Consider the following 25786-nt stretch of genomic DNA (forward strand, 5'->3'; position numbering starts at 1 on the left):
CTGGTCAGGGTAGCCAGCTTTTATTTCCTTATTTGTCCCTGCCCATGTCCTGCTGATTGGTCCATTTTACAGAGTGCCAATTGGTCCATTTTACAAAGTGCTGATTGGTCCACTTTACAGAGTGCTGATTGGTCTATTTTACAAACCTCTAGCTAGCTACAGAGTGCTGATTGGTGCATTTTGACAGAGCACTGATTGGTACATTTCACAAACCTCTAGCTAGCTACAGAGTGCTGATTGGTGCATTTTACAATCCCCTTGTAAGACAGAAAAGTTCTTCAAGTCCCCACCCGACCCAGAAGTCCAGCTGGCTTCACCTCTCAGTGTGACCAACCTCCAAGCTTTTTTATTTCATTGCTTGGCTTCCCTCTCTACCATGTCCATTTCTGCACATTTATTTCAGCCTCACATTGACCAGCTCCTGCGTGCCAGGCATGGCCTAAGTGTTATTCGAACAAAGCTTCGGAAGCTAGTCCACTTGCTTCTGTCTAGAAGAGGAGGGCGGTGCTGGGAGGAACCTCCCTGACTCCTGCTGCAGACCCACTGAGAGGTGACTCCCACACGGCTGTCCTGGAACAAGACAGCAGCTTTTCTTAGGTTGTTCTAAGTTAAGGGCTCTCACTGCTGGTAAGACAGGGAAATAGAGGAGATAAAAATAACAAAACAAAAGGAGAAGTCACAAAGTTACAGGAAATCTCAATATATCTTTCTGTTCTGGATGCTGCTCCAAACACAACTGCAGCAGGGCCTCTTTGTGGGGGGTTCTTATTTGAGAGCCACAAAGGACCTCAAAGCCAAAACAGACTGATTATCTAGCCCACCTCCATGTCCTCCCCTCCTTCCCCCTACTTCCTTACTAACAGACCCAATTTTGTTCAGGAATCCACCCCCTGCCGAGAAGAAACTGATCCTATTCCCAGCTCAGAGCCAAATCCTGAATCATCCAATATTACCCCCTTGTCAGGAGTAGGTTGAGGGGTGACAAGTGGCCCATGCTTTTTCTGGGGTCAGGGAGAAGAAATGATTATTAGAACAATTTTGGTTTAAACTTTTTTTTTTTTTTTGAAACAGGGTCTCACTCTGTCACCCAGGCTGGAATGCAGTGGTGCGATCTCAGCTCACTGCAGCCTCAACCTCTGCAGCCTCAAGTGATTCTCCCACCTCAGCCTCCTGACTAGCTGTGACTACAGGCCTGTGCCACCATGCCTCGCTAATTTTTGTATTTTTTGTAGAGACAGTGTTTTGCCATGTTGCCCAGGATGGTCTTTCACTTCTGAGCTCAAGCAATCCATCAGCCTTGGCCTCCCAAAGTGCTGGGATTACAGGCATGAGCTACTGCACCCAGCCTAAACTTGTTTCTAATTAGCAGTTCCAAATTTTTAGATGCTCATATCTCTGACTAATTACAATAACAGATGATGAAATATCGAAGTGTTGAACTGTCCTCTCAATTCCAGCCGGAACAAACAGATTCTGTTTTCTCTACATTTTGACTGAACTGTCTTGGTGTCATACATTAGATGGTAAACTTCTCCTCTGTTCCAATCTCCCCCTTCTTCATGGCTAATTAGTTAAAAGCACACTGTTGATAAACACAATATGAATAGAAAAATTTTTGTTTAGCCTTAAAAAATAGCAGTATGACAATTTGTCTTGAATTTTGACCTTTCAGTGGTGGCTTGTATCAAAGTTACGGTCTTGGGATAGTGCTATGACCCGCTGAAATGGCTGCGGGCCTGAAATTTTGATCGTAAGGCAAATTTTGGTACAGAAAATCGCCTGTTTCTGCTGACTTCTGCTTTAGACATCCACTCTTAAGGAAAAGCATTGTTATCCCACCAGCTAACACATCACTCTCTACCATATATCAAAGAGTCTCAAGATCCTTCTATTCATGAAAAATGAAAATATTCTCACCACATCCTCGCAGTAATGTTCAACATAAATTACCAAGCACAGAGACAGTTTGGGAATGTACATTATAAATGGCCTTCCCTACAAGACTAAGAGTGAATCCTAATGTAAACTATAGACTTTGGGTGGTAATAATGTGTTAATGTCGGTTGACAGATTGTAATAAATGCACCGCTGTAATGTGGAATGTTGAAGTGAGGGAAGCTGTAAGTGTATGGAGACAGATAAATGGGAATTCTCTGTACTTTCTGCTCAATTTTACTGTGAACCTAAGACTGCTCAAAAAAGTAGAAGTAAGTAAATACATAAGTCAGTAAATAAATGGCCTTTTCTTGGGCTGAGAAATGAAGACATTTCCTATATGTTACTTGGACCTGTAAATTCACTCTGGGGAGATATATATATATATCAGAAAGTATATGTTACTTGGACCTGTAAATTCACTCTGGGGATGTGTGTGTATATATATATACACATATATATTACATATATATATATACACATATATATTAGAAAGTAAATATTTCTTGTTAAAATCTGAGATATAACTGCCCTCTAAAGGTGTTTATTTCCTGGGTTGGCTTTTTTGTTTTGTTTTGTTTTGTTTATTTGTTTTTGAGGCAGAGTCTCGTTCTGTAGCCCAGGCTGGAGTGCGGTGGCACAGTCTCCACTCACTGCAACCTCCACCTCCTGGGTCCCAGTTCAAGCAATTCTCCTGCCTCAGCCTCCCAAGTAGCTGGGATTACAGGCACATGCCACCATGCTCAGCTAATTTTTGTATTTTTTAGTAGAGACACAGTTTCACCGTGTGGGCCAGGCTGGTCTTGAACTCCTGACCTTGTGATCTGCCTGCCTCGGCCTCCCAAAGTGCTGGGATTAGAGGTGTGAGTGAAAGCACCTGGCCGGGTTGGCTCTTATCTATTTACTTGATAGCCAGGTTTGGAGTCATTAGTGGCTGTTGCTTACTCCTTGAACAAACATTTTTGAGTGTTGTGCTGTACAGGCCACTGGATAGATAGCGATGAATCCCACACAGTCCTGTCCTCAGAGCCCACATCTTCATAGATCTATAAATTAATATTTGCAGTAGAGTATGACAAAAAAACTCCAATAGAAGTGCCTCCAGGGAAGATGGTACCAATTGAACTGGTTGCTGGGGAGGTGTCAGGGGAGGGTTCATGGCAGAAGCCTCATTGAAGGATCTCAGAATTTCATGCCTCCTGGGAGGTTCAGTCCAAGACACCTACCTCCATCTTTCAGTGCAGAGGGCACATGAGGGGACCTGCCAAGATGAAGCCAGAGAGGCAACAGTGGTCAAATGATAGAAGGCCTGGGGCGGGAAGGGGCAGGTAAAGATTTGGGGCTTTATCCAAATGGACTTTATTGTAGTTGTATTCATTTGATACCTTTTGTAAGTTCCTTGTTTAGTTATTACATGATTATCATAAAGTTTGGGAGCATAATGGTTAGAAAGATATCACAGACTTAGGAAAAGGATGCATGTTCCTTTAATTTGGCTCTTTTAATGGACTGAGAGACTATGCAACGCTCATGGCTGGAGGACAAGCTTCCCCGGCCTTCCAGTCCCATAAGGACACCTGCTGTTAATGGCAGTCCTGATGGAGTGTAGATCCCTCGGGCTGCCATCCTCACAAAGGTGTGTTACTTTCTGGCTGGCAGCTCCAGATGGCCCTAGGGACTCTGAACTCAGCCTGTGTCCGAAGGCTTACTGCAAGACTGTGCGACTCCACCATGGTCAGTTTCCCCGGGGAACCATCTCTCTACCAAGCCCAGTTTTCCATTGCAAGAACAATTGCCAAGATGTCTAAGTTTCTATGTGAGAATTTTGGCATCTTGGGTTCCTTTTAAATAGGACACACTTGTATGCTCTAAAGAAAAAAAGAAAAGGTTTCTCATGAAGCATTAGCTTTCAAGATTACAGTTCGGTAGGATGTTCAAGATGCTTAGGGTGAATAAAAATGACAGACAGCTGAACACTTCCTATAAATGAAACACCAATATAGATCTAAGTTTCATGCATGACTCTCAATGTGGTTAATGAAAAGGAAGATAAAAAAAAAAAAGGTTGGCCATATTTGCAGGGCATTTGCTCCCAAATGTTTCAATCCTGTTTTCTTTAGACTTTGAAAAGGGGGATTGCACGTTATCTGTCAAGAAGGCATCAAAGCAGAGAAATCCACAAATGTGTAGTGTCAGATAGAATTCAAGCCTTCAGAAAGGACTCCACTCCTTTGGTTACTAAGAGAACTAGGGGCTTGTATTTCTAAGATGTCACTAGCTGGAGGCGCTGAGCAGGTAATGGTCTATGTTTTCCTAGACTATAAAATCCTGATTATATGGTTTAATAAAATAAGAATCTCAGAGTTCTGATGGAAAACAAGTAAACTTCAGGTCTTAGCAGGCACTAGCAGAAAGCACCAGAGAAAACTGGGGGAGAGGTTAGGACTCCTGTCCCAAAGATCCCCCTCAATTATCCTGCCATGTTATCAGTTCCCTCTTTACATGTTACCAAACATGACTACTAATTTCTATTTTTTTCCAAGACTATTAGATGTATTCAAAATTCACTCTTCTTACAAGGATAGAGAAAAGTGCCTATCGATGCTTAATAACCCAACATATATTTAATAGAAGAATTAAATCACCTTCTGCAAAGGACCAAGAAAAGCTCCATTTGATCAATTCCTTTAAGACATGAAGACTTCTCCTTTTCTAAGAATCGCCATAGTAAAATGCAAGCTCAGCATGACATACCCCAAGGAAAAATGTATCTGTCCCTTCTGCTTTTACTACAGTTCCATAAGGGTAATACCGAGTTGTTTTGCCCACATGGGGGCTCTGGAATCTTGGCTGTGATGCATTGGTAGGATATTTGTCACCAAAACTGACTCAGCAATCAGTTAAATATTAAACAAAGCACTGATTAGTGTTCCTGATTCATATTTGTGCTTTGTTTAACATTTAACTTCCGAATTTTATACATCTATTAAACAATATTCCTCTTGACATTCGAACACTATCTGCACAATTAATAAATCAAAAACTTATTAAAAATTGAAACAATTAAAAATTCCCAAACTTATAAACCATTGTTTACAAAATTATTTAACCACACTCTCCAACACTTTTAAATAAAACCATAAGTTTAATATGTCAGACCCTTTTAAATGTTTCAAACACCTAAAAAGTCAGCAAAAATGCACACAAAACGTCATACTGATTGAAAAATATATATGCACACTTACCTTTACACTGGTTACAAAGGCATGAAGATTATGGGTATATATTGGTTTTAAAAAGTACTTTTATACTTATTCTTATATTTTCTCTGTTACTTTCTTAGAGTCAATGCGATCGTTTCCTAGGATTAGAGTATGAAGTGATACAGTTTCTCCTAAGAATACAAATTTCTTTCAGAACCAAAAGAAAAATAATCTCAGGCCAGCCAGCTCTGGGGTTACTGATTCTTATTTGAAACTGATAAAGTGTCTCCCAACATTATTGCACTTGAGCTTAAATGTGGCCTAAGAATATAAAAGTCCGTGCCTTCACATTGGTATCCTTTTCTGAGACCAGAGTGTTTCCTAAAGTGCGCTTCATCTCCTAGGAGACTAGGGATTTTTTTTTTTTTTTTTTGAGACAAAGTCTCGCTCTATCACCCAGGCTAGAGTGCAGTGTTGTGATCTCGGCTCACTGCAGCCTCTGCCTCCTGGGTTCAAGAGATTCTCATGCCACCACGCCTGGTTAATTTTTTGTATTTTTTGTATTTGAGATGGGGTCTCTCCATATTTCACAGGCTGGTCTCAAACTCCCAGGATCAAGTGATCCACCCACCTCAACCTCCCAAACTGCTGGGATTACAGGCGTGAGGCACTGCACCCGGCCAAGACGAGGAATTTAAACCCTGCAGTTTGCTGTCCTTACGAGCACATTTGGCCAATTATCCTTCCATGTTATCAGTTCCCTCTTTACATGTTACCAAGCATGACTACTAATTTCTATTTTTTTCCAGGACTATTAGTTGTATTCAAAATTCACTCTTTCCTTCTTACAAGGATAGAGAAAAGTGCCTATCGATGCTTAATAACCCAACATATATTTAATAGAAGAAATAATATCACCCATATATAAATCTGCCATTAAAAATAATATGAAATAAAACCCTATCGCATTTGCCATTTACATCAACTTTTCTCTTCATAGCTTCATTAGGAACTTACAGCTCTTCACAGACTCCATGTGTTTTAATTGATTATAGCCATCAATCTTATTTGATATTCAAAATCTCAGAGCTTGACCAGAGGAAACCTCTTTAATCTAGCTTCTTAGTCCTTCCAGAACCACCCTGTGATATTCTAGAAAGCATCCTTGCTTTCTGGTTACAAAAGAAACTTCCAGGCTTAAACCATTTGTTTTACCCTACTCAGGACAACCCTTCCAAAGAGCCCCTGTTTCTTTAAGTGGAGAAAACTGTTAGAGACAAAGTCTGGCCATTTAGGGGTACAGGAGAGTTGTGGTGGGCATTAGTACTACTCCTGCTGCTGCTGCTGCTGCTGCTGCTGTGTCCACTGTTAGTGACAGAAGTGGGAAAATATTTAAGTTGAGTTCACATTAGTGTTCCCAGTTTAGCGTGAGCATTGCTCCATTATGTTGTTCTAATGTAAAAATGTCAAACACATTTTTCTCAATGAGATACTTAACATTTTAACCCTTCATCCAAGCTATATGTTACACCTCACTTTTCTATAGTTGTATATTTAGAAAATAAATATTTATGAAATACTTGATATTTCTCATCAATCCTTGGTCACTCAATTGAAGGGTGTAGAAGTAAGGTCAGGTTCACCTTAGTGAGGGGCCTGCATCTAACCTTATCTGAAGGGGCTTATGAATTTGGGATTTATTACCTTGACAGAAAGAAATATTGAGAATGACCCCACCCATGCTTTATAGCAATCGCTCTTTATAGTTTATTTCATAGTGACAAGAAGGAACTCATCCATGGTGGGTTTTTCCCTGAGTGGTCTGTATGGTCATATCAGAACTGAAATCATCCCTTCTTGCTTCTGAGCCCCCGTTTCCAAGTCTTGTTCTTTGTTTCTGTAGGTAGTAAAGTGAATTCTTTAAATCCCTGCCCTCCATCAGCTGCTAAAGCATTCTGCTTCCCTCTGATAAGATTAACAGAATGTTGGCTGTGGTTACGGGATGCTTTGCAGTCTATGTCTTAAACCAAGCCAGCCATGTTAGCATTTCCTCTAGTGGTGGTGTTTTAGGCCAATTGAGAATGTGGGTGATATTAATATTTTCCAACCAGCTGATAACAGGAAAGACACTTCTGCTTGGAGTCCACTTTGAGAAGAGATTTATTATTTAGGCAGCACAGGACACCTCCATTAATCTTCCCCCAGCAGTGCCCATCTACCATCAAGTTCATATACTTTCCCCAGGGTTCAAAGAAGGGTATAATTTTAGCCAGCGATTAGTCAATATTTATCAATAAGAATAATAACAGTAAAATTACAATGGCCAATGTTTGAATCCCTAATGTGTGCCAGGCACAGTACGGGGCCTTTTGCAGCTATTATATCATAAAACCCTTACAACAGCCCCATGAAATTTGCACCATGATTTGCTTCATTTTACTTTTGGGGAAACCACGGATCAAGTAACTGAAGTGATTTCTCTAGGACTCACAGATGAGCGGTGGCAGAGCCTGGAATTAGATATATCTGATGTTAGTGTTTTGAGGAATCACTCTCCCCAAAAGCCATAGCTCCCAGACATTCTTATGTAATTTGTCTTTGCTGAGGCTTGGGTATTGATGATTTAAAAGTCCCCAGAGACCAGATTTCATCTGGTATGCTGTGGGAGTCAAGTAACGTCCAAGGCCAAGCCTGTCTGAGAGAGGTTTTTATTAGCTCCAAAATTATAATAACTTCCACAGCCTTCTTCCACCAATTCTGCCTTCCACTGAAACAGCGCTGGTGATGTTTAGAGGTATGAGTTTGGGACAATTATCAGGAGAAGCATTTTGGTGCTATTGTCCCACCCCTTCTGTCCTGAGAGGTTTTATCTGGTCTTTCAGTATTTCAAATAGGTCATGACTAGATTCCATGCATCCCTAGAAAACATAGCCTAAATTTTAAATTAAAGTATGAGGTGGAAGAAACAGCCTTTCTTCCCTTTTGTTTCCAAGGACAGATGGAGTCAAAAGTGGAACTGGGGCCCGCAGAGCCGGATAGCTTGGGCAGTACGTGTGTGCACCTGCAGGCTGTGGAGACAGGTATTTCCATGGAGCTCACTCGCCCTGCCTCTCATCCAGGCCTGAAAATCATAGGTAACTATGAGGCAAGAGGAACCCAGGGTGGTGGGAACACCCTAGGGTGATCCCAGGCTGGGGACCTTTGGACTAAAAAGATGAAAGCCAACATTCCCTCCCCAGGAGGAGATGCAACTCCTGCACTCTCTAGTGACCATCACTGGGATATTGCACAGATCTGCAGTCACCTTCTAAATCCCCTTAAAGTGGACCTAGCCATCCTCTCCATTTTAAGACCACATCTCCTGTCTGCTACAGCCCCTCTCGCTTCTTTTTCTTTAAGGATATCTGGCTGGTTGTATTGGGTTAACATGCAAGAAGAGAGTACCAATCACTCCATAACTTGGGTAATGCATGTCAATGGTGATCTGTGTGGGGCCGCAAGGTTCCAGATGGTTGGGACAACTCTACAATCAGTCACATTTGGGTTGGTTAAATCCCCCACTCATCTTTACAGCTGTATCCTGCAAGTTAGTGGCTGCCTGTCTCTGAACTTCACCTTCCTTATGGTTGTCAAAAATACCTCCATGGGATAAAAACGCAGCATCTGTAGATTCCCAAATAGGTGCAAGTAGATTCCCAAATAGGTGCAAATAGGTTCATTCGTTGGTTCATTCTGCAGTCAGGGAGCTTTCAGTCTACTGGCATGCAAGACGCAATGATAATGAGAATACTTCACAATGAGTGTGACGTGATGACTGATGAATGTGACAAAGGAGAAGTAGGATGCACTTAGACAGCCTGGGGGAATTGAGTTGTGGCCAGAAGGGAGAGAGAGTGTCCATTCTCCACCTCATCACTTTGCTGCCAAGAGAAACAGGAATTTCTTAGACAAGTTCTCAGGTCCCTCGGTGAGACTGGCAGCCTAAAAAAGGCACCAGGGAGCAGGGGGCACTCACATCATGCCATCCCCCCACAGAGCATCCCGCTGGCCATCTGCATCAGCCCGACCCCCACAGGATAGAAGACTGGCACATCCAAGTTGCTCCTTCCACACCCTCTCCCCACTGAGGCCTCGTCTCCTCCGCCCTGTGGCCAATTGAAGGTGAACTCCTAACGTGCATTCTGCCTGGGATCCCAGAGGTTGTGGCAGCCAGATGAGTCACCTCACAAATACAGCACGTGTTCCTCGGGGGCGGCGGTGGGAGGAAACACGTGAAGAGCTCTCTCTGTGATAATAGACCATTTAGAGCTTCAGATGGCGAAAACAAGCTGATCAGGTGCAGGCCCTCCAGGAGGCTGGCAGGTGACTCCCAGCCAGCACGCCCTCCATCGCACGTTGGGGAAGCTGGAAAGAGCCTGGTGGCTGCCGGGCCTCCCTCTGGCATCCTCTCTCCCTCCAAGGCTGTGTGCTCCCCACCTTGTCTCTCCTTTTTTCATTCCATTGCTCTGTTCTGTTTCTGTCTACCCATTCGTCTTTTCTTCCTCTTCTCTTTCTGTTGCCATTCTCTTTCTCTTCTCCTCTCAACATGTCCTTCTCTCTACCCGTTTCCCCCTCCCCTTCTCTCTCTCCTCCCTCTTTCCCTCTCCCTCTCTTCCTTTCCCAAATCTCTCTTAGCCAGGCTCCTTTTCGCCCTTTGCCTCTCAAACCCTCCTCCACCTTTCCACCCTCTCTCTGCGTTCTGCTTCTCCCTTCTTCCTTCCGTGTCTCTGGCTCACTTATCTGCCCTCTCCACATCTTCTTCCATTTGCCACCCTCCCTCTCTGTAGCCACACCCAGTGGGCTCAGAGCTGGGTCTTTCTTTTTTTTGTTTTTTCTTTTTTCTTTTTTTTTTTTTTTGAGATGGAGTTTCACTCTTGTTGCCCAGGCTGGAGTGCAGTGGCGCAATCTCCACTCACTGCAATCTCTGCCTCCTAGTTTCAAGCAATTCTCTTGCCTCAGCCTCCTGAGTAGCTGCGATTACAGTCATGCGCCACCACGCCCGGCTAATTTTGTATTTTTAGTAGAGACGGGATTTCTCCATGTTGGTCAGGCTAGTCTCAAGCTCCCGACCTCAGGTGATCTGCCTGCCTCGGCCTCTCAAAGTGCCAGGATTATAGGTGTAAGCCACCGCACCCAGCCAGATCTAGGTCTTTCATCCCCCTACACAACCCTGGCCTGGCCTGGGCCTCTGGTCTTGGGCCTGGAAGGGAGTCCCATCCTCCCTCCCTCAGCTGGATTTCTTAAGGATAAAACCTTTGCTCCTTCCTTCACCACACCTCTCCACATCCCAAACTCAAGCCCACAGAGCCCAGCTCTGGGCCCAGGGTGTGGACGGGGAGGGTGGCTGGTGGCCCAGAGCTGAGCCCTGTGAGTCAACAGCATGCCTAGACTCACACACAGACACATGGCCCACCTTCAGGGTCATGAGGATTCATAAACCCTATTCTGCGAAGTGCCTCCAGGAATCATCAAGGGAGCTAGGGCAGCTCTGAGTCTCCACCAGGCCCACCCTCCGCCTCTCAGGGCTGAGCTTCACTTCCCTTCCCAAAGGGGCCAGGGAGAGGGGCTGCTGATGACATGATCTCAGAGGAAGGCCAAGGCCTCCAGGCTGCCTCTGGGCCTGGCACAGGAAGGAGGAGGAGAAAATAGGGAGCCCAAGGAAAGATCAACCCAGCCCAGCCCAAGGACCCCCAGCCCCAGCCCCAGCCCCAGCTGGGCTCAAACTAATTGAAAACAGACTGGAAAAGGCTGCTTTTGCCCTTCCTCTAGACTCAGCATCATCAAGACTGGAGGGACAGAGCATTTGAATCATCAGACGCTGGGCCAGACGTCACCCCACGCGTTTTCTCATTTTATCGTCCTAAGAAGCCCAGAAGGTGCGTAAAATGGCCTGTCCCAAACAGATGAGGACATTACCTTTCTCCTCTTCCTCCTCCTCCTTCTTCTTCTTCTTCTTTTTGCTTCATTTTTCTTTCATTTTTTCCCCCAGATGTTGCATTTCAGAGAGGCTGAGCGTGTTGACTAAGGTCACACAGCTACAAACATCAGGGACCTGCGAAAAAGCTCTGTTCCCTGGTGACAGGTGTTCTGTGATCCTAACACAGCCGGAGGTGGGGACAACGTCCTTGCAGTAACAAAGGCCCTGTTGCTCAACTCAGTGGACATCAGGCCCTGTTTTCATTCATTAGCAGGTCAGGGATTCCAGTGTCACCTGTGCCATGTATTCCAGCTGATCTACCTGCAAGCCTCTACTCCCCATTTTCCCAGCAGCAGCCGCAGACACCACCCAACTGGCAGAAATTTCAAACAAGGGGTTCTGCCTTGCACTCCGGTGCAAGGGTTGGGCACGTGGACTCACATGTGACCAATCACATTGTCTTTCCTGAGATCCTGCATTTTGACCAGAGGAATCAAGAACAAAAAGTGGTGGCAACTGATTTATCCTTAAGAAATCCAAGTAATGAGTTCCTGCTGCCAAGATTTCTGGGATTTCCCTGGCTCCTGCCAGTTTCTGGATTTGGTTCTTAAGCATTTTCTGGGTGTGTGAGCCCCATACCCTTCTCATAGCTTCTTCAGCCAGAGTCAGTTTCTGGTTTTTGCAATCAAAAATAACCCAACTAAGATTTGCTATCCTGCAGGCAAGAGAGGGCCACAGCTTGATAGTCAAGGTTAGCCATTGTCTGGGCCCTGCCTGCCCCAGCCAGCTTTCTTTCCTCCCCAGCCTGTACCTGCCACCCTGAGCACACCACACTGGTACACGCCTGTGTACTTGTCTTTTATGGTCTCACTATAATTTATTTAATCCCTCATTAATGAACATTTCTAAGTTGAAGTATAATTCATGTATTAGTCAGGGTTCTCCAGAGAAACAGAACCAACAGGATGTGTGTGTATATATATTATACACATTATTATATATTACACACATGCACACACACAGACATATCTATATATCTAGAGAGAGAAAGAGATTTCCTTTAAGGAATTGGCCTACATGATTGTAGGGGCTGGCAAATTCAAAATCGGCAGGGCAAGTAGTCAAGGGAAATTCAAAATTGGCAGGGCAAGAAGCCTAGGGAAAAGTTGCAGGCAGAATTGTTTCTTCCTGGGAGAGACCTCAGTCTTTTTCCCTGAAGGCCTTCAGCTGACTCAATGAAGTTTACCCATATTATGGAGAGTAATCCACTTTCTTCAAAGACTCCTGCTTTAAATGTTAATTTCTTTGAAAAAATTGCCTTCACAGCAACATCTAGACTGGTGTTTGACCAAACAACTGGGTACTATGGCCTAGGCAAGTTGACACGCAAAATTAACCGACACAATTCACATACCGTAGCATAAAATGAACCCTTCTAAAGTGCACAATTCCATGTTTTTAGCATGTTCACAAGGTCATCATCATCACGATATAGTCACGGAACTTTTTTTTTTTTTTTTTTAAGACAGGGTCTGGCTGTGTCACCCAGGCTGGAGTGCAGTGAAGTGATCTCAACTCACTATAACCTCCACCTCCTCAGTTCAAGCAATCCTCCCACCTCAGCCCCTCGAGTAGCTGGAACCACAGGCGCATGCCACCAAATCCAGCTAATTTTTGTATTTTTTGTAGAGACAGGGGCCATGTTACCCAGGCTGGTCTCGAACTCCTGGGCTCAAGGTATCCACCTACCCTGGCCTCCCAAAGTGCTGGGATTACAGGCATGAACCACTGCGCACGGCCCAGTCACAGTACATTTTTCTTGCCCCAGAAAAAAAACCCTGACTCCTCCCAGCTCCTGGCAACCAATAAACACATTGGTCTGCATGTTGTTCATGCTGGTTCACCTTCCTCCTTGCCTCCCTTTGACTGCCTCATAAATTTCCACTCATTCCTCAAGAGTTAGCCCTTCTGAAATATCTTCCTTGATCCCACCTACTAGAAGCACCCTGTCCCACCTCAAACTGAGTCAATCACTTTATTTTCTGTGAACCCCCAATATAAGCTGATGGTGCCTCCTGGAATAGCCTTTAGCAAAAGATATTAAAATTGCCTAATCAACTTGCTTCTCTTTCTCACCAAACCAGCAGTTCTTAAATTATGATTTCAGGGCTTCTTGACACTTACCCCATATTTTTACCATTTGATGTGCTTGTGTTTCCGGGAAGAGAGTTCAGGGTTTCATCAGATCTTCAAAAGGATCCCAGGAAGGGCCAAGAGCCTTGAGATTAGGGCTTCTCGAAGGGCAGAGGCATGCTTCATGAGTTCCCTTGTGTCCTTATGCCTGGTGCAGATGAGGTCTGCTGGATGAGCCTGGGTGATGAATGAGTAGTCACATGTAGGAAAAGTGTCCTTCCTTCAAGGGTTTTCCATCATCACTCTCTATGAAGCAGTGAAAAAGCAAAACAAAGTAACATACGGTTAAGCATCAGAGGAGGAGGATAGACACATAATTACATATTCATTTGTTCATCTGCTCATCCATTCACAATTTAGTGTATGCATCTACAAGGTACAAAGCCCAGTGCTCCCAGCAGCGGGTGTTCAGAGCTCCGAGAAGCAAGCAGGCACCACATGTTGGTCTCAGAAGGTAGAGAGAGACTGTAAAGTAAACCAAGGAAGGCTCCCTGGGGGAGAGGCCGCATGACATGAGCGAAGCCAAGAGCAAGGACTGGGACTCAGCCAGATGGAACAGAGCCCGGGGAAGGGTGTCTTGAGTGTGTGTGCTGGGGGGAGCATCCACGTGAGCAAATGCCAGGCCTGCAGAGGACCCAGAGAAGGGAGAGAATTTACACACCCACAGTCCCTGAAGCCTGGAGAGGACTTTTTAAGATTCCCGGTGACGGTGCAGAGAAGCTGAGCCGGGGCCTGACTACAGTGAGGTGTGGGGTGTAATTACCAAGCCAGAGTGCAGAGCTGAGCCAAGCAGGTAAGAGTACTGACCCCGAGCCCACTCGGGCTCTGAGCAGAAGGAAGATTTCATTAGTGTTAGAGAGGAAGGATGTGCCTTCTCCCCCGGAGGCCAGAGGGCAGGAGACCAGCCAGGCGGGGAGGCTGACCCAATGGCCCCGGAATGGTGATGGAGCAGCCTGGGAGGCTGCAGGCACTGAAGGAAGAGGTAGGGGACGATGACTCCATCTGTCACCTCGGCACTTACCCCAAAAGATGGAGGACTGCTGGCAGAAACAGACAGAAATTTCCCTTGAGAAGGAGAAAGCCATGCTATAGGCAATCAAGATTTGCACATTGTCAGCAGAGAAGGAATGAGACTGTCTGGTTGCCGCTAGACTTTGGCCAGGGCTGTCCTGCAGGTAAGGGCCTCGTGCAGGAGGCCCCTGGGCAAGGGCCGGCCCTTCTCCTCTCCCTCAGTGTCCTGGAAAGGCCCCAGGGCTGCCCCAACCCCTGACCTCTCTCCTTCTTTCTCCATATTGCTAGACCCCCTTCTCTTGGTCCCCTGCCTCCTCCCACTGGTGTGCACCCACACCTTCAGACAGTTCTGAGCAGACCACGCAAAATACAACTGTGATGTTATTTGCAGCAGGCATTCTGGACCCAGAACTGTGCTTGGTCTTGAAGTTGAAAGGTAGCAATCACTCATACTCCTCTCCCATGAACAATTTGAGAAAAAATGGAGGCTCAGGGCAGAAGTTACCCCCTTTACAACTGACGGGAGCTATCCTGGGGAATGAAGCCTGAGGCTAAAACCTATGCCCTATTTCCAGCCTCATGAAGTAAACTTAGCCACTGGGTCCCTAGCAAAGAAACTGGAGAACTGAGGGTCTCCCCCAGGTCTGCCCTCCAACTGCCCCAAGCCCCACATGCCTGCAGGCGGCCCTGGGATATCTGCCATGTGCAGGGAATAATGAGCCTGGCAGCTGCAAGAAGGAGATGAGCTCCAGGGTTTGAGGGTTAAGGACATTCACCAGTCTCCCAGCACACTCATCTCCACCCCACCCCAGTGAATGAGACTGAGAGGGCTCAAGGTGGGGGCAACAGGTTCTCTCCATTACCTTCCAGCCAATACCTGCATGTACATTGAGATACTCAGTAAGCCATGAGAAGCGCTGTGTGACCATGACTGAGTTGTTTAAACTCTCTGTTCATGCTCCTCCCCTGCAAAGTGAAGGCATTCAAAATCATCTGTATTCATGGTGAACCTACTTTGTTCTAAGGCCTCTGGGACATCCAAAGTTGGATAGGCCATGTCCCTGACCCAGCTGACTGCTCTCACCCTTGCTTTCACTGTGTGAAATTCTCCCACATTGACGGGCTGGGGGTAGGGCAACTACAATTGAGAAGCACAAGGGAGCCCCCCGTGGTGATGAAACAGTTGGTATCTTGACTGTGGTGTTTACACAAATCTATGTGTGTGATAAAATGACACAGAACTACACACATACACACACCCATAAGAGTGCATATAAAACTGGTTAGATCCAAGCAAGGTGTGTGGACCATGCCAATGTCAGTTTTTTGACTTTGACATTGTCCTGTGGTTCCCTAAGATGTTACCACTGGGGGAAACTGGGTGAAGGGTGCAAGGGCCTCTCAGTATTATTATGGGAATTTTCTGTGAGTCTATAATCCTTTCAAAAGAAAAGGTTATTAAAAAATCTCACATGACTTCTCACTACTCTGCTTATAAAATCCACACTCCTCACGGAGCACCACAGGCCCGCTGTAATCTGGCCTCTGTCTCCTCTCCAACCTCTCCCCAAGCTCCCTAGGCCCAGCCCCATCCCCTTCTCTCTGCACCTTGAGCACACCCAGCCCACTCTGTGAGGCTGTAGGCCTTGCTGTTTCTTTTACCTCAAGTTCTCTCGCCCCAAATCCTAAACACAAGTAACTTCTGTCATTCAAATTTCACAATCAGTCTCCTTTTCTTGTAAGGCCTTCTTTCTCAGGCTGATCCCTTCAGCCCTAATACAGTTGGCCCTTCCACTGTGTTTAGGGTGCTACATCACCATCACCTCTTGGTTTTTGGCTAAGATCAAGTGTAGAGTCCTGCTATCATCAGACATGATCTGATTCGTTTGTTTGCTTACCTATCACTGTCAGTCCGGACCTCCCCTCCCTCTGAGAATGAAGCAGAGAAAATGTTATCTTGGTCACCAGTGTATCCTGGAAACTGCAACAGGGGCAGGCACAGGCAGGAGTGCAGTGAATATCAATGGTAGATGAATGAATGAATGAATGAAGAATGAATGAAGAATGAATGAATGAATGCACCACACAAAGTAGCATTCTAGCAGAAGTGAAAACAAGGTTACCTAGTGCAGACTTTCCCAGCCAGGACTCATACTATTTTTAAACACATACACCTGCTTCGGTGATGTACTGAAGGCCTCAGGCTACTCTCCCCGCCCACATCTCCCACCCCTCTAACAGGATTCAAATCTCCAGTGCTCATATTTCCTCCTCATCACTTACCTAGCAAATCTGGCTCACAGTATAATATCAGTCATTTATACTTCAGTCTGAATTCCAGGTCAGTGCCAACTTCCTCCAGATATTTGTGGTTTAAGCTTCATGTGATATTACGTCATCTTAAGGGCATTTAGTAAAGGGGAAGAAGGAACATTTTTGGACAGAGGCCTTTTCCTGTGCTCATTTGTGCCTCACAGGAAGCCAAGAGTAAATGTGCATCTAGACCTACAGGGGAGGTCTTGGCAGTTACAGCAAACTCAGGGAATTTTAAATATGCCGGAAACTTTCCAGAGCCCTGAGTTGCAGTCCCAGCTCTGTCACTGTCTCTCTGTGCTTTGCTAAACAGACTTCGCCCCTCCGTGGGCCGTCTGTGAAAATAGGGCCCAGCTCGATGGCATATAAAGGCCCTCTGACTTCCAGTAGTAAAACTCTAGAGGAGCCCTTGTTTTCTGGGGAGACTCTTTCTGAGTTTTCATAATAATGTTGAGTAGTTCTCTTTTCTTGCTCACGCCGACTTTTCTCCAGTTCTCGGACACCAGTTCTGGGTACCCAACAATTCAATCCAGTTCTGACACTAACTATCCAGAGTTAGCAGAGGCCCCACAGGTTAAAGGCCTCGTCCCACAAAACTGCCCCCACTTCAGACACCAGTGGCCAGTCTCAGACCCCCTGTACTTCTGACCAACCAGCTATAAGTCAAGGATTCCTAAGACTCCTTCCTCAGGTCTAATAATTTGCTAAAGAAGCTCACAGAACTCAGGAACACACTTTACTTATGTTTACTGGTTTGTTTTCAAGGATGCAACTCAGAAACAGCCAAATGAAATGACTGAATCAGGCAAGATATGGGGTTGGGGGATGAGGCATCGAGTTTCTATGCCCTCTCCAGGCATGCCTTTCTCCCAGCACTTGGACGCGTTCTCCAACAGGGAAGCTCTCCAAATCTTGGTGCTTAGGGGTTTTTATGGAGGTTCAATTACATAAGCATGATTGATCAAATTATTGGCCAATGGTGACTGACTCAATCTCCAGCCTCTTCCTTCTCTCCAGAAGTTGGGGATGGGGCTGAAAGTCTCAAGCTTCCAGTCAAGGCTTGGTCTTTTTGGTGACCAGCCCAATCCTGAAGCTATCAAAGGCTCACCAAGAGTCACCTCACTGGAACAAAAGATGCTCCTATACCCTCATCACTCGGGAAACTCCAAGGGTTTTAGGGGCTTTGTGCTAGGAATGGGAGACAGAGACCAAATATCTATCTATTTATTTATTTATTTATTTATTTTTTGAGACGGAGTCTCACTCTGTCACCCAGGCTGGAGTGCAGTGGCACAACATCTGCCTCCCAGGTTCAAGTGATTCTCCTGCCTCAGCCTCCCAAGTAGCTGGGACTACAGGTGCCCACCACCATGCCTGGCTAATTTTTGTATTTTTAGTAGAGACGGGGTTTCACCATGCTGGCCAGGATGGTATTGATTCCCTGACCTCATGATCCAACCACCTTGACCTCCCAAAGTGCTGGGATTACAGGCGTAAGCCACCTCCCCCGGCCCCTTTCTATGACACCACAGATGGGCACAGTCAGAATCAGAGCCTGAGGTGCAGGTCAAATCCCTTAGCCCTCCACCAGTCCCGCCCACTTGGTTTCTGTGGTAGAAAGTTTTGTTTACTATCTGTATCTGTATCCCCCACCAAATGCGAGCTCCCCCATCCCACCCTGATGCTGAACTGAGGACACTCAGGGCTTTGTGTGGCTCTGGCAGCTTGCACAATGGGTTCTCAGATGAGGTATTCCATGCCCTTCTTCCTGGAGTAGTAAGAGTCAATGCTTTTCAGTTCAGCAGAAATTCATGAGATATTAGAAAGCACTTCCTAGATCTGCGTAGAAGTTGGAATAGGTTGCATATAGAAGCTAGGAAGGTTCCATCCCTGGAGATCTTTAGGAAGATCCCATTGCTCTGGGTGACTCAGTCGCTCATTTCAATCATGAATTACAGGCATTATCGAGTTAAGTCACCATGGTGGCTGGACCTGCTTTCTCCAAAGTCCCTCCAGCTGCAGGTTGGTGAGCCCATAGATGGGGTTAGTGAAGCATTGTTGGTCAGCTCACCAGGGCACCCTTATGAGAGTGAAGTAGACCGTGACTCCTCTGCAGTTGGTTAAGGAAGAGGACACTGAACAAAGTCATGTGTTAAGAGTGGTGTTTGGCTGGCAAATTCTGATTCATCTTTCAGGACCCTGCTCAAGCATCTCCTCTTTTGAGAAGCCTGGCCTGGCCCTCTCCCCATGCCCCACTCTTCCTTCCCCAGGTTTAATTAAATGTCTCTTCTCAGCTGGTGTGACCTCTTGGTTGATTGCAAATAGTGCATACTCCACTCTCTCTCCACGGAACTGTGAGCTTTCTAAGGGCCAGAACCATACCCACCTCATCTCTCACTGCCTCCCTGGTGCCATCGCAGGACAGGTGGGGCAGAGCAGGGGCCCGGTGGCTGCTGGCTAAATTGTTGGAGGGACTGGCTGGGAGCCCATACATCACAGACAGCAGATACCCCAGGGACTGGCAGTGTGGGAACCAGGTGAGAAGCCCCAGTCTCAGGTCTGCAGCCTTCCTCAGTCTCCTCACTCAGTAGCCTTGATTCCCAGCAAACCACATCAATTTCTCATTGCACACCCTGCTCAATGCTCATCTGCATAGTGTCCTCCATCCAGAGCAGCCCTGAGCTGTGGGCACGAATACTAATGGATCATGCAAATGCCAGCCTAGGGCAAGAGTGCCCTGGACTGTCAATTAGCTCCCCCCAGCACCAGCTACAGTGCCCAACCCCTTCACTTGATACAGGCCAGCCCAATGCAAGAAGGAGCAACAGAAAAAGAACTCGGCTTGAAGGACTGCTCTAGTCAAGGTAGTGTGTTGTGGCAGCCTGGAAAGGGATCTTCCATGTAGAGTGAGGGAAGAAGAGAGCCAGCCTGGCCTCTCAGGAAGAGGTTCCCACAGGCACTCTTGGGAGGAAAGGTGGTGCTCTTGGGGGCCCAGGTAATAATTGCTACACGAATGCCACGGCTCTTGGAACTGCTGCTTCATCCTTTTCCCTCCACCTGGCCATCTATGTGCCAGGCCACCAGCGTACGTCCTGTGTTGTCCTCTAAACCAAGACCAAAGCTCTTCACAGCCACTCTTCTCTGACCCAGTACCAACTCCATCCTGGGAGGGAGGATGACAGGCTCCCCGTCCCCTCACCTCTTCTTCCCAATACTGCTGTTTCCTCCCAGTTCTTTCTCTTCCCTCCACTGCTCCCATCTGCTTTCCTTCCTTAGTGGATAAAAGCATTAAATTTGAAGGCAGAGAGATCGGGTTCAAACCCAGACTCTACAGATCACTCAAGCTTTGTGGCTTGGGCGAATTACACCATGCCTCTGAACTTCAGTTTGCTAGTCTATAAAATGGAGAAAAGAGAAGTACCTGCCACAGTGGCATTGTGAGGATCATTTTATGAATAGCTAAGAATTTCAGGTAACTCACTCTGATGTACCAGAAAGTTACTTTGCTTACTGCTTCAATCACTGAACTTAATTTCTACTCCAAGTTCCCATTCCTCTCAGTGGCAGAGAACCCTCAATCAGTTCAGGATGCCCCATCCCCAGTGTTGCCTGAATGTTTTGGGGTGGGCTTACGGAGCATGGAGCCTGAAGTGGGCTCTACCTCTGGTGGGCAGCCCTACCATTCCTACAGAAAGGCACCCCAAGAGGTTCTGCTTCCTGTGCATTCTGTGGTCACTGTGCCATTCAGGTCGCAGCTGGGGCCTCCCAGGCTCTAGGAGGGTTTCCTGGACCGCACCACTGTTGGGTGCAGGGGAAGATTCCCCTTCTCCTTACCGGACTTGCCCAGGAGAGGTAGGTCAGGAACCCCTGCCTGAAAAAGACACACAAGTCAGTGGCTGTGCAATGCTCCTGCTACACACAGAGGTGGCAGGCCTTAGAGGGGAACCCTAGGCTGTGTTCACTCTCCCAGGCTCCACTTTGGAAAAGCCAGGGTCTGCTCTCAGCTCCCACATTCCGCCAAAGTCTGGGGTTTCAGTGCCAAACAGGCCACCAACCCTCGAACTCTGCCTGAGGTGGAGGACAAGGGCAAACCCCTCTTGCTCCTGCCCTCCAACCAGTCACATATTCTTCCAGGCCTTTCATCTCAAAATCCAAGATGTGACCATTGTTTCCGTGCCACCTCTGCCACAGGTAGTGAATGCCGCAGCTCAAATGTGCGGCAGGTTGTGTGGTCACAGGAAATAACAGAAGGAGCCCCGGTTAATATCTCAGTTGTATGTGGCCTCATTTTTGCAGGCCCTGTCCCAGAGTCAGTCCTCAGCACGAGGGCAGCTGAGACTCTTTTCTCCCCCATTCCTTCCTCCTTCCCTCTTCCTGGGTTTCTTCCTTTTTCAGGCTCCAATTGCAGCAGCAGCAATGCTGGGAGCGGAGATCCTGGGAGCCCGGAGCCAGCTCTGACATGTTCAGCGGGCCGTGCAGGGTCAGGGGCATGCTCATCGGCTCATCACTGGCATGATTACTAATCATCAGGCAGCGGCAGGGTTACTGTTCCCTCCTCCCCTCCCTGCTCACTTCCTCAGGGTCTTCAGGCTGCAGGAGCCGAAGAGGGAAAGACCCTGCGTGCACCCTGGCAGGCTGATAATCACAGCTGCAGCCCCCAGGCACTAAAAGGATGGGTGGGAGCATCATCCACCACTCAAAGGGCTGGGGACCCTTGTCCCTCCCATGTGCATCCATCTCTCCTATCTCTGAGTCCCCAGTGAACTGCTGCCTCCCTAGAGAAACAGTGCTAGAAGTCAGTGGCAAGAGCAGCAGGAGGACTTGGAGCTACATGCAGAGTGTGAGCTCCGGAGTCAGACCAGCTGAGTTCAAGGCCAGCTCCACCATCTATTCACTGTGACTTCAGGAAGGTTGCTTAACCTCTCTGTGCCTTAGCTGCCTCATCTATAAAACAGGAAACAATGAGAGTCTTTCCTTATGGGGCTATTGAAATGATTAAGTGAGATCAGGCATGTGATGGCACACAGTAAGAACTCCATAAACAGAGGTCACCACTGCTAATGCAATTATTCTATCACCTCAGGAGACTAAAGCAGGGGAGGAAACACCATTGACTCCTGGACATTTACCCAAGGAGATTATGGATCCATGTTTTGCACACACTTTAGAAAGACAAGGAATTCTAACCACAGCATCTGTCTCCACTGCCCCCGTCATTTCAGTCTCACCCGTCCACCCTCAACCTCACCACTGTGGCCCGGAAATGCGGTTGCCCAGGGCCACTCTCACCCCACCTCAGCCCTGCTCTGCTCAAGTCTCACTTCCACTCCTTCCAGCTCCCATCCCTTTCTACCCAGCTCCACCCTGATTTCTCCACCATGACCTTTACCCTCCTAGTCTGATCTAGACCCCTGATCTTGCCGAGTATCTAGGACTTTGGTGCCTTTGACCCTCAGCAGCAGAGGTAGAGAGGGATCTCGGTGAAGTCTGGGATGTTATAGTGACTTGTTTATCTAAGTGCCCTGAGACTGTGAGTTCCCTAATGCAGGGAGCATCAACCTCTGCAGAGAGCCCCAGAGCCCTGCTCAGGTGTGATGAACAGGAGGCACTCACTTGATGCCCTCACAAAGTTGTGAGTGAATGAATGAATGAGTGAATGAATGATTGAATGAAGATTAGTGATTATGTTAATGACCTGCCTTTTTCATGAGCCTTGCAACCTCCCAGGTACCACACTAAAGCACTTAAATGCTTCCACTCATTTAATCCTCATAGCAACCCTAAGACATAGGCGTAATTATTGTACCTATTTTATAGATGTTGAAACTGAGGATCAGTGAAGTTAAAGGCACACAGCTAAGGGATGAATGGATAAAATCCTTTACCATAACCTTTCCTCCTTAGGACAAAGTTTCTTCACCAACTGTCCAAGGCTGTGTTTCACTGGGGAGAGTCTGAAATTCTACACCAAGCATGAGCATGTGTTCATGCAGCATGGTAACTCTGGGGGAAAAGGTTCACAGGTTTTATCAGATACTTACAGTTTGTTAGAACATATTTGAATCCATCCATCTAACCACCCGTCCCCTTTCAATCCACCCTTCTGTCCACCCCCAGACAGCCATTTGATCAATATTCATGAAATATCTGCCTTGCGCCAAGCATAGTGCTGGCACCCATGAATTCCCTGGTCTCCAGAAATATCCTTCCCCCTCTCCCTGACTACCCCTGCCCCCGCCTCACCACACACACACTCCTTGCAGGATCTGGGTAACTGGGAGGGCTTTACCGCCAGTGTCCCAGCTGCGTGGGTGGCTGCACTCTGTCTGAACTCATCTCAGCTCTGGTGGAGACTGTGGCAGCGCAGAAGCGTGCAGGGGGAATCCTCAGGCAGCGCAGCCATCAGGACATGAAGGGCAGAGCCTGTGCCCCGGCTTCCCCGGCTTCCGCTGCAGTCTACATCAGTCCTGCTCCCTCCAGAACATGATCAACCGGGACAGATGAGGCCATGCTTGATGCATAAGGATGCAGCCAGGGAGAGCTGCCTCCCAAACCCAAGTCCTATTCAAAGGTCTTTTCTTCCTCCTGGGGAGGTAGGGGAGAAGGTCCAAGCAAAGGGAACTGGAAGGGGAAAGTGAGGCATGGAGTTTGTGTTTTCTGAATCAGGACTGTGTTCCAGCCAGGGAGACCCTGTGTCAGGCACTTTTGTAATCACGATCACTTTCAGCCTCACCCTGCGACCTCCAACGACATTGCTGAGATTGTTCTCCTTGCAAACATGAGGAAATTGAGGGGCTCAAAGGTCAAATAACTTGCCCAAAGTCACAAAACAAATCCGGGACTTTAAGCCTGATCTGCTTGACCTGAAACTCATATCTACTTCCCTGCCCTCTGAAGATCTATATGTCCTATGTCATCACTTCACTGTTCACACAAGGTGATACCTGGCTTCTCCAAGCACCTGCTACCCTGAACTTACTGCACCACTCTTTCCTTCCTAGCCTGAATGCAATTTGCAATGAGGAGATGATTTGATTTTCTTCAGCCCTAGACCTCCAGCTTCCTGAGAGCAGGTACTCTTGCCTCTTCTTGCTCATTATTGATCCATATATTTAGAATAGCGCCTGGCAGGTAGATGGTGCTTAATAAATATTCATTGAATAAATGAATGAATGAATGATCCAATGAGCCCCAAAGCAAATAACAATAAAGGACATTTGCAGAGTGCTCTACAGAGAGACAAGTGCTTTCCCTTTACTTTATCTTACCCCATTCTCACAACAATCCCCTGACATGATTGGGTTCATGTTTCACAGATGAGGAGGCTAACGGCCAGGTGTACATACCAGGGGACATGGGACTGGGTTCATATGAGCTCAGGGGTAAATGATGACACCCTTTCCCCTGCCCTGAAGGATCTCAGTTTGAGTATTTGTAGCACACTTAGGATGTTCTGGGCCAGGCTGAGTGGCGGTGGATGGGGGCGGTGGAGGTGGGGTATGCAAAGCAGGAAACTCGGCCTTTGCTTTCTAAAAGCTCCCAGTCTATTTGAGGCCAGACTTATGCATGCAGAACATTTGGGAAATGGTACAAGACAGCAGCAAGCATAGTGCTGAATTGCACATAATCAGGTGCCAACTGCATTCCCTTCCTTAACTAATCTGAGTCTTTTAATACCAGATGGGGACCCTGAGAATAGATTTCCTATCAAACAGATGAAGAGCAAAGATGGGAGCCGAGGGAAATGCTGTGGCTTACTCATTTTTATACCCCTGTAACCCAGCATGATGTCTGGCCCACAGCAACAGGAATAGGGCAGTCCACCTTCAATAATGGGCCACTCTATGTGCCAGGCACCTGCTAAGGGCCCCACAAACATCATGTCACCAATCCCTCACAGCAACACTACCACTTACTAAAGGAATTATGAAAGTAATCCACAAGAAGCTGAAAGCAGGGTTCAGAGATCGTACTCATCATGCCCACAGTCTCAGAGTAAAGGGGCAAGCTCAGTGTTTGAACCCAATTCTAGCAGCCTCCCAAATTAATGCTCTCAATCTGACTCTATGCTACCTCTGTGCCTGGAAGGAACTACTGTTGTCCATAAGGATGAGAAGAAACATGGCTAAGGGAGCACTGAGTAGGGAGGAAGGAGGCAGCAGGGAGGAAGAAATAAATTAAGAAAGAAAGAGATACAAAGAGGAAGAAAGGAGAGGGGGAGGGAGGGAAAGAACAGGGCTTGTGTGTTACATAAACTCAGACAAGCACATGCATGTTTTAACAGGATTCCTGCAGGTCTGACAATCTCACTCCTTCCTCCCTGAACAACCTTAGAGGGGTTGCCTAAGGAGTCCTATATAGAGGCTTATGGCAGAAGGAAGGCCTTGCGTCCAGAACTTTCTGAGCTCATGGATTGACACTGGGGTTGCGCATCAGTCTGCTTGGAATGCCTTCAAAAAATACCCCAGTCTGGGTGGCTTATACAACAGAAATCTATTTTCTCATGGTTCTGAAAACTGGAAGTCCAAGATCAAGGTGCCAGCAGGGTTGGTGTCTGGTGAGGCCTCTCACCTTGTGTTGCAACTGCCTTTTCCCTGTGTGCTCACATGGTATCTTTGTGCGTGGGGGGTCTTTGGAGTCTCTCCTTGTAAGGACACTAACTCTATCAGATCAGGGCCCCACCCTTATGACCTCTTTTAACCTTCATTAGTTCCTTAGAGGTCCCTTCTTCAAATACAGCCATACAGGGGCTTAGAGCTTCAACACAGGGATTTTGGAGGGACACAAACATTCAGTCCACACCGGGGTGCATGAGGGAGGGGTCAGAGCTGGAGAAAGTGCATGAGCTAGTTCACCTTCCAGAGTAAAGGGAGCAACAGCCACTGAAGCTCAGGTTGGATGGGGCTGGCAAGGTCGCTGTATTGAGTACATCATGGGAGGGACAACAGGACAAATGGCTCCTGCAGTCAGGGTGACTGATGGGAGGCTTCTTCAGCACTCCCTCTGCACATTCATTTTGTCACTCCCTCTCTCCCCATGCAGTTCTTTGCTCTCTGTTGCAAGTTCCCAGGAGGCAGGCAGAGGGCCTGTTATCATCATCTTTCTCTCTTGCCCCTCACACTTACCTGTGTTCTTCTACTTAGACACATTCTTTGTGAGCATCTCATGGGTGATG

At 47.0% G+C, this 25786-nt stretch overlaps 1 protein-coding gene across 3 annotated transcripts in view, besides 2 other annotated features; it reads left to right on the forward strand.

Annotated features, from left to right (window-relative positions):
* The window catches only part of KCNIP1 (potassium voltage-gated channel interacting protein 1), a 383146-nt gene that overhangs the window by 121437 nt on the left and 235923 nt on the right, over window positions 1-25786 (forward strand). Inside the window, exons 3-4 of one of the 3 annotated variants that reach the window (XM_017009408.2) lie at window positions 10947-11053; window positions 11369-12639. The exons of the other annotated variants lie outside the window; for them this stretch is intronic. Of the exons in view, the coding sequence (XP_016864897.1) occupies window positions 10947-11053; window positions 11369-11541 (280 nt within the window). The 3' untranslated portion in view covers window positions 11542-12639. Of the gene's footprint in view, window positions 1-10946; window positions 11054-11368; window positions 12640-25786 lie in introns of those variants that run through there. 3 annotated transcript variants of the gene reach the window in all.
* Window positions 10047-10547: an enhancer, noted in NCBI's record as "H3K4me1 hESC enhancer chr5:169911974-169912474 (GRCh37/hg19 assembly coordinates)". NCBI's record gives its function as "activates a minimal SCP1, AML or CMV promoter by ChIP-STARR-seq in naive H9 embryonic stem cells {active_cell/tissue: H9 hESC(naive)}" and the evidence as "EXISTENCE:reporter gene assay evidence [ECO:0000049][PMID:30033119]".
* Window positions 11363-11529: a silencer, noted in NCBI's record as "fragment chr5:169913290-169913456 (GRCh37/hg19 assembly coordinates)". NCBI's record gives its function as "represses an EF-1alpha promoter that drives an FKBP-Casp9 reporter gene in an ReSE screen in K562 erythroleukemia cells {active_cell/tissue: K562}" and the evidence as "EXISTENCE:reporter gene assay evidence [ECO:0000049][PMID:32094911]".

Source organism: Homo sapiens, chromosome 5 (assembly GCF_000001405.40).
Source record: "Homo sapiens chromosome 5, GRCh38.p14 Primary Assembly".
Classification (NCBI taxonomy): domain Eukaryota; kingdom Metazoa; phylum Chordata; class Mammalia; order Primates; family Hominidae; genus Homo; species Homo sapiens.